At 35.7% G+C, this 18,025-nt stretch overlaps 1 pseudogene, besides 2 other annotated features; it reads left to right on the top strand.

Annotated features, from left to right (window-relative positions):
* Nucleotides 1,938-2,437: an enhancer, noted in NCBI's record as "H3K27ac hESC enhancer chr4:46726491-46726990 (GRCh37/hg19 assembly coordinates)". NCBI's record gives its function as "activates a minimal SCP1, AML or CMV promoter by ChIP-STARR-seq in naive H9 embryonic stem cells {active_cell/tissue: H9 hESC(naive)}" and the evidence as "EXISTENCE:reporter gene assay evidence [ECO:0000049][PMID:30033119]".
* On the top strand, nucleotides 2,304-3,241 carry RAC1P2 (Rac family small GTPase 1 pseudogene 2; annotated as a pseudogene).
* Nucleotides 2,438-2,939: an enhancer, noted in NCBI's record as "H3K27ac hESC enhancer chr4:46725989-46726490 (GRCh37/hg19 assembly coordinates)". NCBI's record gives its function as "activates a minimal SCP1, AML or CMV promoter by ChIP-STARR-seq in naive H9 embryonic stem cells {active_cell/tissue: H9 hESC(naive)}" and the evidence as "EXISTENCE:reporter gene assay evidence [ECO:0000049][PMID:30033119]".

Raw genomic sequence — 18,025 nt, 5'->3', positions numbered from 1 at the left:
TCAACCCAGAATTTCATATCCAGCCAAACTAAGTTTCGTAAGTGAAGGAGAAATAAAATCCTTTACAGACAAGCAAATGCTGAGAGTTTTGTCACCACCAGGCCTGCCTTACAAGTGCTCCTGAAGGAATCAATAAACATGAAAAAGAATAATAAGAGCTATTTATAACAAACCCACAGCCAATGTCATACTGAATAGGCAACCAGCCACTGCAAAAACATGCCAAATTGTAAAGACCATTGATACTAGGAGGAAACTGCATCAACTAATGGGCAAAATAACCAGCTAACATCATAATGACAGGATCAAATTCACACATAACAATATTAACCTTAATGTAAATGGGCTAAATGCCCCCAATTAAAAGACACAAATTGGCAAACTGGATAAAGAGTCAAGACCCATCAGTGTGCTGTATTCAGGAGACCCATCTCACGTGCAGAGACACACATAGGTTCAAAATAAAGGGATGGAGGAAGATCTACCAAGCAAATGGAAAGCAAAAAAAAGCAGGGGTTGCAATCCTAGTCTGCAATCCTAGTCTCTGATAAAACAGACTTTAAACCAACAAAGTTCAAAAGAGACAAGGCCATTACAGAATGGTAAAGGGATCAATTCAACAAGAAGAGCTAACTGTCCTAAACATATATGCACCAAATACAGGAGCACCCAGGTTCATAAAGCAAGTTCTTAGAGAACTATAAGAGACTTAGACTCCCACACAATAATAATGGGAGACTTTGGCCAGGCATGGTGGCTCACACCTGTAATCCCAGCACTTTGGAAGGCCGAGGTGGGCGGATCTTGAGTTCAGGAGATTGAGACCATCCTGGCTAACATGGTGAAACCCTGTCTCTAATAAAAATACAAAAAAAAATTTAGCCGGGTGTGGTGGTGGGCGCATATAGTCCCAGCTACTTGGGGGGCTGAAGCAGGAGAATGGCATGAACCCAGTAGGCAGAGCTTGCAGTGAGCCAAGATCATGCCACTGCACTCCAGCCTGGACGATGGAGCAAGACACTGTCTTAAAAAAAAAAAAGGGAGACTTTAACACCTCACTGTCAGTATTAGATCAACGAGACAGAAGGTTAACAAGGATATCCAGGAATTGAACTCAGCTCTGCACCAAGCAGACCTAATAGACATCTACAGAACTCTCCACCCCAAATCAACAGAATATACATTCTTCTCAGCACCACATCACACTTATTCCAAAATTGACCACATAGTTGGAAGTAAAGCACTCCTCATCAAATGTAAAAGAACAGAAATCACAACAAACTGCCTCTCAGACCACAGTGCAATCAAATTAGAACTCAGGATTAAGAAACTCACTCAAAACTGCACAGCTACATGGAAACTGAATAACCTGTTCCTGAATGACTACTGGGTAGATAACAAAATGAAGGCAGAAATAAAGATGTTCTTTGAAACCAGTGAGAACAAAGACACAACATACTAGAATCTCTGGGACACATTTAAAGCAGTGTGTAGAGCTGGTTTTTTGAAAAGATCAGCAAAATTGATAGACCACTAGCAAGACTAATGAAGAAAAGAGGGAAGAATCAAATAGACAAAATAAAAAATGATAAAGGGGATATCACCATCAATCTCACAGAAATACCAATTACCATCAGAGAATACTATAAACACCTCTATGCAAATAAACTAGAATATCTAGAAGTAATGAATAAATTCCTGGAAACATATGCCCTCCCAAGACTAAACCAGGAAGAAGTTGAATCACTGAATAGACTAATAACAGGCTCTGAAATTGAGGCAATAATTAATAGCCTACCAAACAAAAAAAAGTCCAGGGCCAGACGGATTCACAGCCAAATTCTACCAGAGGTACAAGGAGGAGCTGATACCATTCCTTCTGAAAATATTCCAATCAATAGAAAAAGAGGGAATCCTCCCTGACTCATTTTACGAGGCCAGCATCATCCTAATACCAAAGCCTGGCAGAGACACAACAAAAAAAGCATTTTAGACCAAAATCCCTGATGAACGTCAATGTGAAAATCGTCAATAAAATACTGGCAAACCAAATCCAGCAGCACATCAAAAAGCTTATCCACCAAGATCAAGTTGGCTTCATCCCTGGGATGCAAGGCTGGTTCAACATACACAAATCAATAAATGGAATCCATCACATAAACAGAACCAAAGAAAAAACCACACAATTATCTCAATAGATGCAGAAAAGGCTTTTAATGAAATTCAACAGCTCTTCATGCTAAAAACCCTCAATAAACTAGGTATTGATGGAACGTATCTCAAAATAATAAGAGCTATTTATGGCAGTTTTCCTCAGCTTTGGGTGGTGGCCGCTGCCGGGCATCGGCTTCCAGTCCGCGGAGGGCGAGGCGGCGTGGACAGCGGCCCCGGCACCCAGCGCCCCGCCGCCCGGAAGCCGCGCGCCCGTCCGCCGCGCCCCGAGCCCGCCGCTTCCTATCTCAGCGCCCTGCCGCCGCCGCCGCGGCCCAGCGAGCGGCCCTGATGCAGGCCATCAAGTTTGTGGTGGTGGGAGACGGAGCTGTAGGTAAAACTTGCCTACTGATCAGTTACACAACCAATGCATTTCCTGGAGAATATATCCCTACTGTCTTTGACAATTATTCTGCCAATGTTATGGTAGATGGAAAACCGGTGAATCTGGGCTTATGGGATACAGCTGGACAAGAAGATTATGACAGATTACGCCCCCTATCCTATCCGCAAACAGATGTGTTCTTAATTTGCTTTTCCCTTGTGAGTCCTGCATCATTTGAAAATGTCCGTGCAAAGTGGTATCCTGAGGTGCGGCACCACTGTCCCAACACTCCCATCATCCTAGTGGGAACTAAACTTGATCTTAGGGATGATAAAGACCCGATCGAGAAACTGAAGGAGAAGAAGCTGACTCCCATCACCTATCCGCAGGGTCTAGCCATGGCTAAGGAGATTGGTGCTGTAAAATACCTGGAGCGCTCGGCGCTCACACAGCGAGGCATCAAGACAGTGTTTGACGAAGCGATCCGAGCAGTCCTCTGCCCGCCTCCCGTGAAGAAGAGGAAGAGAAAATGCCTGCTGTTGTAAATGTCTCAGCCCCTCGTTCTTGGTCCTGTCCCTTGGAACCTTTGTACGCTTTGCTCAAAAAAAAAAAAAAAAACCAAGAAAAAAAACGGTGGAGCCTTCGCACTCAATGCCAACTTTTTGTTACAGATTAATTTTTCCATAAAACCATTTTTTGAACCAAAAAAAAAAAAAGAGCTATTTATGATAAACCCAAAGCCAATTACATACTGGATGGGCAAAAACTGGAAGCATTCCCTTTGAAAACTGGCACAAGACAGGGATGCCCTCTTTCACCACTTCTATTCAACATACTGTTGAAGTTCTGGCCAGGGCAATCAGGCAGGAGAAAGAAATAAAGGGTATTCAATTAGGAAAAGGGGAAGTCAAATTGTCCCTGTTTGCAGATGACATGGTTGTATGTTTAGAAAACCCCATCGTCTCAGCCCCAAATCCCCTTAAGCTGATAAGCAACTTGAGCAAAGTCTCAGGATACAAAATCAATGTGCAAAAATCACAAGCATACTTATACACCAATAACAGACAAACAGAGAGCCAAATCATGAGTGAACTCCCATTCACAATTGCTAAAAAGAGAATAAAATACCTAGGAATCCATCTTCCAAGGGATGTGAAGGACCTCTTCAAGGAGAACTACAAACCACTGCTCAAAGAAATAAAAGGGGACACAAACAAATGGAAGAACATTCCATGCTCATGGAGAAGAAGAATCAATATCATGAAAACGGCCATACTGCCCAAGGTAATTTATAGATTCAATGCCATCCCCATGAAACTACCAATGACTTTCTTCACAGAATTGGAAAAAACTACTTTAAAGTTCACATGGAACCAAAAAAGAGCCTGCATTGCCAAGACAATCCTAAGCAAAAAGAACAAAGCTGGAGGCATCACACTACCTGACTTCAAACTATACTACAAGGCTATAGAAACAAAAACAGCATGGTACTGGTACCAAAACAGAGATATAGGCCAATGGAACAGAACAGAGCCCTCAGAAATAACACCACACATGTACAACCATTTGATCTTTGACAAACCTGACAAAAACAAGAAATGGGGAAAGGAGTCCCTATGTAATAAATGGTGCTGGGAAAATTGGCTAGCCATATGTAGAAAGCTGAAACTGGATCCTTTCCTTACACCTTATACAAAAATTAATTCAAGGTGGATTAAAGACTTAAATGTTAGACCTAAAACCATAAAAACCCTAGAAGTAAACCTAGGCAATACCATTCAGGACATAGGTATGGGCAAGGACTTCATGACTAAACACCTAAAGCAATGGCAACAAAAGCCAAAATTGACAAATGGGATCTAATGAAACTAAAGAGTTTCTGCACAGCAAAAGAAACTACCATCAGAGTGAACAGGCAACCTACAGAATGGGAGAAAATTTTTGCAATCTACCCATCTGACAAAGGGCTAATATCCAGAATCTACAAAGAACTTAAACAAATTTACATGAAAAAATCAAACAACCCCATCAAAAAGTGGGCAAAGGATATGAACAGACACTTCTCATAAGACGACATTTATGCAGCCAACAGATACATGAAAAAATGCTCCTCATCACTGGCCATCAGAGAAATGCAAATCAAAACCACAATGAGATACCATCTCACACCAGTTAGAATGGCGATCATTAAAAAGTCAGGAAACAGCAGGTGCTGGAGAGGATGTGGAGAAATAGGAACACTTTTACACTGTTGGTGGGAGTGTAAACTAGTTCAACCATTGTGGAAAACAGTGTGGTGATTCCTCAAGGATCTAGAACTAGAAATACCATTTGACCCAGCAATCCCATTACTGGGTATATACTCAAAGGATTATGAATCGTGCACACAAAGGATTATAAAGACACATGCACATGCATGTTTATTGTGGCACTATTTACAATAGCAAAGACTTGGAACCAACCCAAATGTACATCAATGATAGACTGGATTAAGAAAATATGGCACATATACACCATGGAATACTATGCAGTCATAAAAAAGGATGAGTTCATGTCCTTTGTAGGGACATGAATGAAGCTGGAAACCATCATTCTCAGCAAACTATCACAAGGACAGGAAACCAAACACCGCATGTTCTCACTCATAAGTGGGAATTGAACAATTTGGACACAGGGCAGGGAAGATCACACACCGGGGCCTGTTGTGGGTTGGGGGGTGGGGGAGGGATAGCATTAGGATAAATACCTAATGTAAATGATGAGTTAATGGGTGTAGCAAACCAACATGGTACACATATACATATGTAACAAACCTTCACGTTGTGCATATGTACCCTAGAACTTATGTATAATAAAAAAAGTTTTAAAAAATGCAAGCCATATTGCTGTTCTCTGTGTATTTGAAAACTAACTTTTGAATAAGTTTTTCAAATTACCAGCCACAACATCAATGTTATATTGCCTCACACTCTTCTTGGAAATTACATTAGTATATATTATTATTATGAGAAAAATGTTACTTGACGGTTACTCAAAGCTTCGTTTTGACATGTGTTCTTCCTTTATTTGGAAAAACTGTGCTACTAGGGCTATGTTTTGCCATTACAGTGTGGATAAGTGTGAATAATAAGTGTACAGAGAAAAGTTAGAATTTGCCATATCAATGTGCCATGACAGTTGTTAAAGGATTAATTTTTTTTTCCCATTTGAAATACATGGTAATCCTGTAAAGTCCATAAGCTGGTCATTTACCCTATTGAATAGATGTTTACCTATTATTAGCCATGGGTTGGTTAAGTGACAAGGAAGTCACTTAAAAATAGAGATAGAAATAGAATCCACCTCTCTTGCCTTGTAGTCTACTGCTCCTTTGGGAATTTCACATACTTCCTCCAACCAGACAACCTTGATCTCATCCTAAGTGATGATGGTAAGTGGATAGATAAATAGTGTATCTGCATGCCAACTACTGGGATCATTGGTAAGTACAAGAATTAGGCTGGTGAATAAGGCCAATATGAGGCTGTGTGTTTGATCAGTACAATTTATGTGCAGCCGCTTTAATGGGATTTGAATGTTAGGTCCAGTATTTACTGGTTCACAGCTTCATCACTAATAGTAAAATCTATCCAAAAAACTGTATGGGTATGGATGTTGGTCTCAGGTGTTGAACAATGGATAAAGTGATATATCTCTGCCATGGAATTTTACTCATGTACTGACTTAACAAATGTACTGTGTGACATCTTTAAAGATTTGATGTAAGGAAAAGGAAGTGGAGATTGCAAGCCAGTTATCAGTAATCATTGCTAAAACATGTTTCATTAAAACCCCTTTTAAACGAGTGTCTGCTAATTTGGGAAATTATTCACGTATCATGATAGTTCCTCATTTATTACAAATGCAGCAAAGTGCATACATGTATAACATACATCATAAAATCTTTCATGTTTTGCAGTAACAGCAGTTGTTTTCCTTAGGTGATGACATTAATTTGAGCATTATTTCTTATTTTTTAATAACCTTTTACATTACAAAAAAATCTGCAACTTCATTTTCTTCCCCTATCTGGAAACCATAGAAACCAATGTGAAATTATAGCTAAGAAGCTCGTCACTGGGCTATCTCAAGCTGATCTCCATGGAAACATTTCACATTCTTGAAAGGAAAGATCTTCCAATCAGACACACAACCATAACTGATGGGTGTCTGACAAATATAACAAGAAGAAGAAAGAAGTATATAGATATTTTATTGGATAATATATGCAGGAGAGTTTTTAAACTACTTCAAAAATAACATTTAAATGGTAAATATGATGCCAACTACAGAAATAAAGTAGAATACAGTTTTGAAAAAAAATTCTGTCTGTCTGTTACTCTTCTTACATATTGTTCTTTCTAGATTTTTGCATTAAAGACAACTTCCTAAAATAGTATGGACTTTGGATTCAGAAAAATCTGTATTCAGAGGCTAAATCAGCCCTTTAGCTAACTGGCTTATCACTCCCATTTTCTTATTATAAAGTTGAGGGGAATACCTGATTTACAGAATTTGAGGATTCCATTAGTTAAAATAAATGCTTAATAAGTAATCATAAAGTTTTATCTGGTGAAATGAATAATTGAGTAAAGGAAGTATTGACAATAAGGATGATGATAATGTTGATCATGGTTTCAACTTTGTAAAGAATGGTTATTAAGGGGTAGTACTTAAATATGAATGCCACATTCTCTAATGTAAAGAGCTCTATTATTTAACTTTGATAGTATAAAGACTGTTCCTAGTTCAAAATTTGGATAATCTCCAAAAATTCACTTTTATGATTGTTTGGAGGTTGGATCACATGAATGGGGTAGAGGAAACAGCTTCTTCATATTGTAGGATTGGACTCTAAAAATAAACCTGTTAAGGTAAAAGTTATATTTTCAAAATTATCTTAAATTACACATATAACTTATACATATAATTTTAATATAGCTTTCTCTTACGCATGTATAAAATGTATATAGTAATATACATTTGCCAAGGCATATACATGATGAATAGAGTTGGACAGTAGACTCAGAGTGTCAGGATGTGCCCTTTTGTGACAGCGAAGTGCAACCAAGGAGCATGTAGACTTATTGAGCAGAAAAATAGATGGAATTTTCAGCCCTATATACATTTTTTCTGTCCTTTTTTGTCTTTGTGATTCTATATCTATATTCCAGTCTCTTTAGTTTCTCCCTGCCTTTCTCTCTGTTTGCCTTTCCACTGTCTCTGTTCCTATCTTTGTCACAAAGCCTCTATAGTTGAATCTAATTAAGTTAAATACATATATGATGTGATTCCACTATATTACCATAGAAACAATATTAAAATTAAGCAGTTTTTAAACTATCTTTGCTGCAACACATGCTGAATAGTGGATGTACGACAAATTTCTATGCATATATTCAGAATTTGATTTTTCAAAAATAGGCAGGGAAATAAATTGATAGAAACAAATGTGGGTTAAGAAGTCATAGGTATTTATTAAATTATTTTAGGCATACATAATTAAATTGACTATATAATTTCTCAAATGACTGTTAATTTTAAGGAAATAACTAGAGATTCGTAGGCCATGTGTAAATTTTGATTAACCCAGGTAAGCAAATGAAGTTTGCAGTTACCACAAATTTCAAATACGTTATATTTGGCCCCACACCAATGAAACATTGAGACAGAAATACTGGTATGTAAGACAAGCATATACTAGGAATAACCTTAACCTTAAATTCTCTCCCAACTTCTTTCTTTTCCTTTGTTTATAGAGATGAGGTCTCACTCTGTCATGTAGGCTGGAGGGCAGTGTTGCGATTATATCTCACTGCAGCCTTGAACTCCTGGGCTCAAGTGATATTTCTGCCTCAGCCTCCCAAGTAGCTGGGATTGTGAGTCACCATCCCTGGCTTAACTTGAGTATTTAACTCTTACAATTATAATAATAGGGTACTCACAACAGTCTATTATTATTGCATCAACTGATGTAATGAGAATGGTGATTAAGTTCACAGATCACCCTAACAAAGTTTGTGTATCTCATAAGTTCCCTAACTTGTCTACAATTTAACAGTTCCAGTAACTCCATAAATTACTACCCAAGAATACAAAAGCAATAGAGGTTATCATCCCCCATTGAATGGGATAGGACTTCTGACCTTACACCATTTCAGAAAAGTTATTCATATGTTAATTACTTGTAAGTAACTGCTCAGTTCTCTCGTATATGTGAATATTCAACTTGTCAACATATTTACAAAGTACTAAATCTGAAATGCAAATACATTTGAATTATGCTTTTATTATGTTCCTACTGTGACAACATGAAATGTATTTGTTGAACATGATAATTATTTTGTAAAATTAAAAAAATAGTATTCATTTTACTTTACCTTGATGGAACAATATTGAAATTTAGTCATTTTCAAATTTTTGATTTTTTGGTAAAAAAAAAAGTAGAGTTATCTTTTTTTCTTTTTTTATTTGATATGGAGCCTCTCTCTGTCACTCAGACTGGAATGCAGTGGCATGATCTTGGCTCACTGCAACCTTAGCCTCCTGGGTTCAAGCGAGTCTCATACCTCAGCCTCCTGAATAGCTGAGATCACAGGTGTGTGCCACCACACGTGGCTAATTTTTTTTTTTTTTTTTGTATTTTTAGTAGAGACAGGACTTTGCCATGTTGGCCAGGCTGGTCTCGAACTCCTGACCCCAAATGAACTGCCTGCCTCAGCCTCCCAAAGTTCTGGGATTACAGACATGAGCCCACTGCACCCAGCTCGTGTTTTCTTTATTTGCTAAATGTTACACAGCTGAAAAGTGACCAATTCTTGAGCTATTTCCTAATATGTGAGGAAATTTAGAATGGTGGGTTTTGTGAAATACAATTGTAAGAAGAGAAATATATTGTTTGGAGATACTTAATCTGATATATGAAAATTTTAAGCAATATTATTCACTTGGTCTTAAGTATAACTCATTTATATAGTCATTCAGCTAATAGTTTGCATTTCTTACCCTTTAGAAATTAGTAACATACTGGATTGTGTTACAAGTACCCTATGGAATTGAATTACTAAAATTTGAAGTGATTGTGGGGAAGAAAGTGGCAAAATAACAGAAAGCATCTTCCTTTATGAATTAGTCCCAAATGCAAGCCACATTTCATTTTCATTAGGTGGAACTGATCATTTGATGAAGGTATCTTGTCACGAGCCAATCTCTCTTTGGAGCTACAAATTTGTTAGGTTTGTCTATGGTTAGTTACATACAGTAAAGTGAAGCTGAATAGAGAGACCAGAAATGCAGCCTCAAAAAATAGAAGTTTATTTCTCTCCGATTTACCATTCCAGTTTAAGCAAACACTTCAGAGCAGTAGGTTGAATACACCATAGAAATGACTTTCATAAAACAGAAGCCACAGAAGACTCAAGGACAAATAAAAAACATCAATGACTGAAAGGAGAGTTAAACATTTCTAAAGCCAAAACAGATCATGTTCTAACATTGCCCCACAACAATATAGTTATAAAATTCTAAACAACAAAATTATGTATGTGTAGTTGAAATAATATAAATACCATTATTTGAACATACTGCAATTAAAACAAAAAAAAATCCCAAATTATAAAACAGAAAGCTCCTTCCACTTGTAATTTAAAAACAACAACAAAAACTCTGTTAAACAACTTGTGTTAGGGTTCTCCAGAGAATCAAAACCACTTGTGTGTGTGTGTGAGTGTGCATGTATGTACATATTATATTGATATGTTTTGGCTCTGTGTCCTCACCTAAATCTCGTCTTGAATTGTAATCCCTATAATCTCCACGTGTCAAGGGAGGGAACTGGTAGGAGGTGATTGAATCATGGGGGCAGTTTCCCCCATACTATTATTGTGATAGTGAATTCTCGTGAAATCTGATAGTTTTATAATGGGCTCTTACCTCTTCACACACTCTCTCTCTCCTGCCATCATGTTCCTGCTTCCCCTTCCTCCATGATTGCAACTGTCCTGAGGCCTCCCCAGCCATGTGGAACTGAGTCAATTAAACCTCTTCTTTTAATAAATTACCCAGTCTCAGGTATTTCTTTACAGCAGTGTGAAAATGGACTAATATATGTATGTATTAGAATACATATGTATTCTATATATAGATGTATTATATATACATATATGATGCACATATATGTATACATTATATATACACATATATATGTGTGTACATAGTATATCTATAGAAGGACATTTGTTGTAATAAACTGGCACAGTTTTGGGGCCTAAAACATCCTTAGATCTGCAGGTGGCAAGTTAGAGACCTAGGAGGGCCATTGTGTAGTTATATTATGTATATGTACATATATATGTAATACACATATACATACACATATGCATATGGTATATGTATATACACACACACATATAGAAAGATATATATTTACCAAACTGACTGACATGATTATGGAGGCTAAGAAGTCTTGAGACCTGCAGTTGGCAAGCTGGAAACCCAGGAGAGCCCACATTTAGTTCCAATTCAAGTCCAAAGTCCTAAAAACCAAGATAGCCTACGGTATAAGTTCCAATTCAAAATCCAGAAGGCCCAAGACCCAAGAAAAGCTGATGCTTCAGGATGAGCCCAAAGATCAGAAAGGACTATGTCCGAGTTCAACAGACAGTAGGGGGAGTTCTTTCTCATTCATGGGACTATTGGGTTTTTTGTTCTATTAAGGCTTCAACAGATTGGATGAAACCCACCCACACTGGGGAGGGCAATTTGCTTTACTCCGTTTACTGATTTAAACATTAATGTCATTGAAATAGTCCCTCACAGACACACTCAGAATAAAGTCTGACCAAATATCTGTGTACCCTGTGACTCCATCAAGTTGACACATAAAATTAACCATCACATGACTGTTGTGCTGGAGAGAATATACTAAAATTTCAGACCCAAGAAATAAAGGATCACGAGAATGCAGTATTCAGAATTGGTGGGATATAGCAAAGTTTAGGTATTAGAGAAAAATTACAGATTATATAAATACCTATAACAATAAAAATGAAAAGTGTATTAAATACTCAACTGCAAGGAACAAGAAAATTTTAGAAAGGACTATACAAACAAAAATCAAGCAGAACTGACTCCAAAACTGAAATATATAGCAAACAGAACACCATTAAGAACTAACAATAAATCCAGAAGTAAACCCTATTATTTGAAATTATCAACTAGACTAAATGAACAACTAGACGAATGTTTTTAAAAAGTGAAGGGCAGGAACATAAATACAGAAAATTGGAAATGGCAATGTTTCCTTCTCAACTGAAGGAAGAATACCACAGATTATTCTGCATACCTCTATGCAAATATATTTGAAAATCTAGATAAAATGAATAATATTTAATTATAAGACAGCTATCAAAGAAATGTACAAGATACAAATAAATGGAAGTATCCTTCCATTTATTATTCTATGTTTATAGATTAGAAAAATTTATTACTTTATTTTTCATTATCTTATGTTTATGGATTAGAAGAATTGATATTGTTAAATCTGCATAATACCCAAAGCAATCTACAGATTCAGTGTTATTCTTATCAAAATTCCAATGGCTTTTCAGAGAAATGGAAAAAAAAATCCTAAGATTCACATGAAACCACAAAAGACCTTCAATAGCTAAAGCAATTTTGAGAAAGGACAAAGCTGGATAACCATCACACTTCTTGATTTCAAACTATATTACACAGCTATAATCATCAAAATATTATGCTGCTAGCATAAAAACAGGCACACAGGCCAATGGATTAGAGAGCCCAGAAATAAACCCACACATATATGGTTAACTAATTTTTGATTAGAGTTCCAAGAATATACAATGAGTAAAGGATAGTCTCTTTAACAGTCTAGGGAAAACTGGACATCTACATGCAAAAGCAGAAACTGTGCCCTCATTTTACACTGTATACAAAATTAACTTCAAATAGATTAAAAGCTTAAATAGCAAATTTGCCATTTAAGATCTAGAACTATAAAACTTCTAGAAGAAAACATGAAAAAAGCACTTTGACATAGGTCTTGGCAATGGTGTTTTAGATATGGCACCATAGGCACAGACCACAAAAGCAAAAATAAACAACTTGGACTATATCAAACTTAAAAGCAAAATCAACAATCAACAAAATGAAAAGGGAAACCACAAATTGGAAGAAAATATTTGCAAATCATGCCTCTGGCAAGGAGTTAATATCCAAAATAAAGGAAGTCACAAAACTTGGTAGAAAAGAACCAAATAACCCAATTTTAAAATGCTCAAAGGACTTGAATAGACATACAAAAGGCCAACAGGTATATGAAAAGGTGCTCAACAGAACAAATCATCATTCAAATGCAAATCAAAACCACAAATATCACCTCACACATTAGAATGTCATTATCAAAAAGACAAGAGACAAGAAGTGTTGGTGAGGGTGTGGAAAAAAGGGAACCCTGGTACCCTGTTGGTGGGACTGTAAATTGGTGCAGCCATTGTCAAAAACAGTACAAAGTTACCTAAAAAAAAATAAAAACTACAACTATCATATAACTACCATCCCAGTTATTCTTCTTGTATATCCAAAGGAAATGAAATTAGTGTCTCAAAGAGATATCTGCACCAGCATTATTCACAATTGTTAAGATATGGAAACAATTCATGTCTATTAAAGGATGAATGGATAAAGAAAATGTGATATATATATGTGTGTGTGTGTGTTGTGCACACACACAATGGAATGTTACTTATTCATAATATAGGAGATCCTGCCATTTGGACAATATGGGTAAGCCTAAAAAACACTATGCTAAGTGAAATAAGTCATGTGTAAAAGGACAAATACTGCATGATCTCACTTATATGTGAAATCTAAAAAAGTTGCCTTGAAGCAGAGATTAGAATGGTGGTTACCAGGGGCTGGGGGTGAGGGAAATGTGGAGATTTTTGGTGGAGGGGAAGAGTAATTTCCTAGCAAAATACAATTTGTCAAAATGAAATGATCCTAAAACATACAAAGTTTAAACATATTTACCTTAGGATAAATAGAGGAAACTGAAATTACTCAACAAAACCAAACCAAAATCAAGAATAAACCTGAACGGGTCCAGAGGAGAATTTTGCCAAAATTTGAAAATAAGAAAATCATAAGGCTGTCTAAACTCTTCTAGAACAGAGGTAATAAAGAAAAACCCAAATTCATATCAGGAAGCAATTATATTATTGATTCCAAACATTATATAGATTGTTCCAAAAATAAAATTACAATCAAATCTAATTTCTTAATATTGGAATAATAAATAATGGCCATGTTGAAATCAAACTATTCTTGTATCCCAGGAAATTAACAAACAAATTCCAGGAATGCAAGGATAGTTAAATGTTAACAAAAAAACTCTAGGAATGTAAGGATAGTTAAATAGTAACAAACATTAATATAATCCATTTTATTAATATGGAGATAAATCATAAATGCATAGATGCATAAAGATATTTGACAATATTTAAAATCTATTATGCTTTAAAAATAAAAATGTATGACTTTTATTTGAGTGAGCATGTATACACATTCAGACACATACACATCTTGCCTGAAATTCAGTCTCTCACCTAGTGGGAAAACATTGGAGACTTTCCCTTTCATGTCAGGTACAAGGCAAATGTATTCTCTACTTCTATTACTATTCATCATTTTATTGCAGATATTAGCTTACAAAATTAGTTAACAAAAAACATAGAGGCATAAGAATTAGAAAGCAAGAATCTCAATTTCAGATATGATTATATGTATAGAAAAACAAAAGAATTGGTAGAGAAGCTATATAAGAATTTAAGGGTGGTATCAGCTTACAAAATCATAAAATGAATCTTCAAAAAGAGGATAAGGATGAAACAATATCATTTACAAAAGTGAAAATAAATAAACAAATAGAATACCTACATGCGAACTTATGTCCAACAAATGTGTATTTGTGTGTGTTTGTGTGTATAAACAAAAACACATACCATGTTCTTGGACAGAGAGACTTAATATCACATAGACTTTAATCTCCCATGAGTTGATTGACAGCATTAAAGCTTCTCTAAGAAAAAAATTAATTTTTTTCCTTGGAGTATGGGAATTTAATTATAAACTTTATTTAAAAGAACAAATAAATAAAAGTCAGAAAAAGCTAATTTTATTAATTATTAAAACATTGTCTTGAGTCTCTAAATTTAAATTACTTTATCATTGTACAAATAGAAGCCAGACCAATAGAATAAGCAATGCATAAATAGACTTACTGCATATGTAAATGTAGTTAGTATATGCTAAAGGCAACATTAACAGTGGGAAGGAGATGGACTTTTAGTAAGTGATGATAAGACAACTGATAAACCACAGGGAAAATAGATGAAGTTGTATTTATTTCTGACACTGTTGACAGGATAAATTCCAACTGGTTTAGAGTTCTAAATGAAAAAATAAGTTATACAATATCAAGAAAATATGAGAAAACATGAGAGTGAGAAAATGCCCTAATTATGAGTCAAAATTCAGATGCAATAGAAAAACATTGATTAACCGTATTAAGAAATGACTTTCGCGTTGCAAAAAATAAGCAAAGTAAAAAACACAAATGAGTAATTGGAAAAAGTGTTTAAAAAGTATATCAATTAAACTAGCTACTATCCCTAATATTTATAAACCTTCTGAAAATAGAGAAGTAAATGACCAATGAGCAAGAGATAAAAACAGATAGTTCACAGAAAAAGAAATGCAAATAGCTCATATATATATATATGAAAATACAACTCTCTCATAACAAGAGGATATGCTAATTGAAACTAAACTGAAATACTCTTTCTCACCCATCAGACTGGTAAAAATCCCAAAGTTTGACAGTACATGTTGATGAGGTTGAGAGAACACAGGCACTGTCATAATTAACGTTGGAAATGCAAAATGATAACTATCCTAGGAGGAGAGTTTCTCAATATTCTGCATTTATCCTTTGACCCAGCAATCTCATTTCTAGGAATCTGTCTAAAAATCTGGTAAATAGATGAAAAATTATATGGATAATGCTACTCATATAGCAATTTTTTTTTGTAATTGCAGGAGACTGTAAATAAGCCAGTTATTAAGCTTTTGTGTCTCAGCTTCAAAACTCGCCCTTCTATAACTGACTTGGTATGCGTGCTGGGACTCATCCCACCGCATTTGTTTGCTTGCTGTTTTTCTTAGTCTCTGTCTGCAGGAGGCACTGCAAAATTGGAGCCTCTAGGAAAAATAAAATGATGATAGCCTTCCTGTCTTGCCTCCGGTTCCTGTGAGTGTCAACAACAGCAGCACTTCTTCATACCAACTACAAGAATTTGTCCCCCCACTGATTTAAATACTACCTTTATCATGTACTAAATGGTTGTGTCTGGAGCTTGACATGTTGATTATAAAAACCCATTTAAAAGAAAAAACAATATCCAGGAAAACCTTGACTTTTTAATAAGTAATTTTGAGCTAACTGATTAATCATAGGAAAAATAAATAAACTGTTTCAATTTCTGGTACCATTGACAGGATTAGTTCAAAATTATTCAGGGGTTTAAATGTTTTAAAAATGAAATTATTTAACTAGAAAAAAATAGGAATACCAAGATTTTATACAAGTAGTAATGACAAAACACAACTGCTACCTATGACCAGGAAAATAAAGGAGGAAAGTTGCAATTAGAAATTGGAAGCATAAAGAGGGGCTCAACAGAACTGGGACTCAGAACTCTGAAGAAGGGTTCTTCAGAGATGGTGCTGGCATCTTTGAACTTGGAAGTCCTGTAGAGTAGGCATTCAGACCTCCAAGAGCAGGCCTGTGCTGATTGGTATCTGCAATCAAATGCTAAAGACCCTTCCACTAGAATTAGAAAAACTCTAAACTAGACTCAACAGCTCCCCTTGAAGAATATTAGGAAACCACCTCATTTAAAAAATGTATATGTGTGTACATATACACATTTAAATTACATATATATGTTCATATATTTAAACATGTATATATACATTATATATAATAAACTATTATTTATAATAATTTTACATATTTTTATATATACACTGTATATACACGTATACATATATAATTTACGTATACATATTTTATATATAATTTATACATATATTTTAAGTCAAGTATTCATTCTGCCTCTTTTATGACTTTAATAAAAAGTAAGCAAATACATGGATGATGAAGGGAAGTTTCTTTTCATATTATTCCAACCAATAAATGGAGGGAAAAAAAATAAGAGTTAGAATATTGCCATGAAATGAAAGAATGTATTGAGGCAATGATAGTTAGTGACTATTAACATAAGAAAGAAAACAACCAGACTTACACCAACTGGTTGTAGAAATGCCATCTATTAGCTACTCTTGCCAAGAAACACAAAGCTGAATTTCAATCGAACTGCCAACTTACAGGAACTAAGGAGATGGAGGAAATTGTTGGACAACACCATGGGTCTGGAGTAAGTCAAGACTGTGGGAAACTCTTCTGTACAAATAACCAGTTTCATCCACAAATAAATGGCAGAGAAAGAAATAGAGGGATTGGAAACCTATTTATTAAATGACCCTGATGTGGTTATTAAACATTGTATACCTATATCAAAATATCTCATATACCCAATAAATTCCTACAACTACTATGTACTCACAAAAATAAAAAATATGAAAACTAAAGAAACAAATGAGACTAATGAGACATAATAAAATCACAATTTATGGTCATTTTTTATCTTAATTCAAAGAAACAAAAGGTATGGGGAATTTGAACAGTGTATATATGGCAATTTCAAAAGATGTTTAGATATAATGATAATATATCAGTTATGTTGAAAATATAAGTGCTCATCTTTTAGAGCTATAAAATTATGAAGCAAGATTTTTCTTTTCAGTCACTCTGCAAACTGTGGACCTCTGGCCGGCAACACCCCACCTGTGCCTTGCTCAGCCATGCTGGCATGCCCCAGCTTGCCTGTGTTATAGCTTGTACCCATGTTCAATAGCTCCCAAGCTCTTGTACTCCACCCAAAAAGAAAGAGGATATTCTGGACATTGAAGGGTGAGAAGGGTGGAGAAGAATTTGAGTGATGAAAATGGCTCTCAGTGGGGAGGTGAGCTGGAGAGGGGACAGGAAGAACAGGTTGTCTTCCCCAAAGTCAGGCTGTTTCTTCCCTGAAATTAGGCCGTCTCTCCCTATATTAGTCTACTTTCATGCTGCTGATGAAGACTTACCTGAGACTGGGCAATTTATAAAAGAAAGAGGTTTATTGGACTCACAGTTCTACATGGCTGGGGAGGCCTCACAATCATGGTAGGAGGTGAAAGGCTCATCTCACATGGCAGCAGACAAGAGAAGAGAACTTGTACAGGGGAACTCCCCTTTATAAAACCATA

The sequence above is a fragment of the Homo sapiens genome, chromosome 4 (assembly GCF_000001405.40).
Source record: "Homo sapiens chromosome 4, GRCh38.p14 Primary Assembly".
NCBI lineage: Eukaryota > Metazoa > Chordata > Mammalia > Primates > Hominidae > Homo > Homo sapiens.
This window is presented reverse-complemented; position numbering and strand designations above follow the sequence as displayed.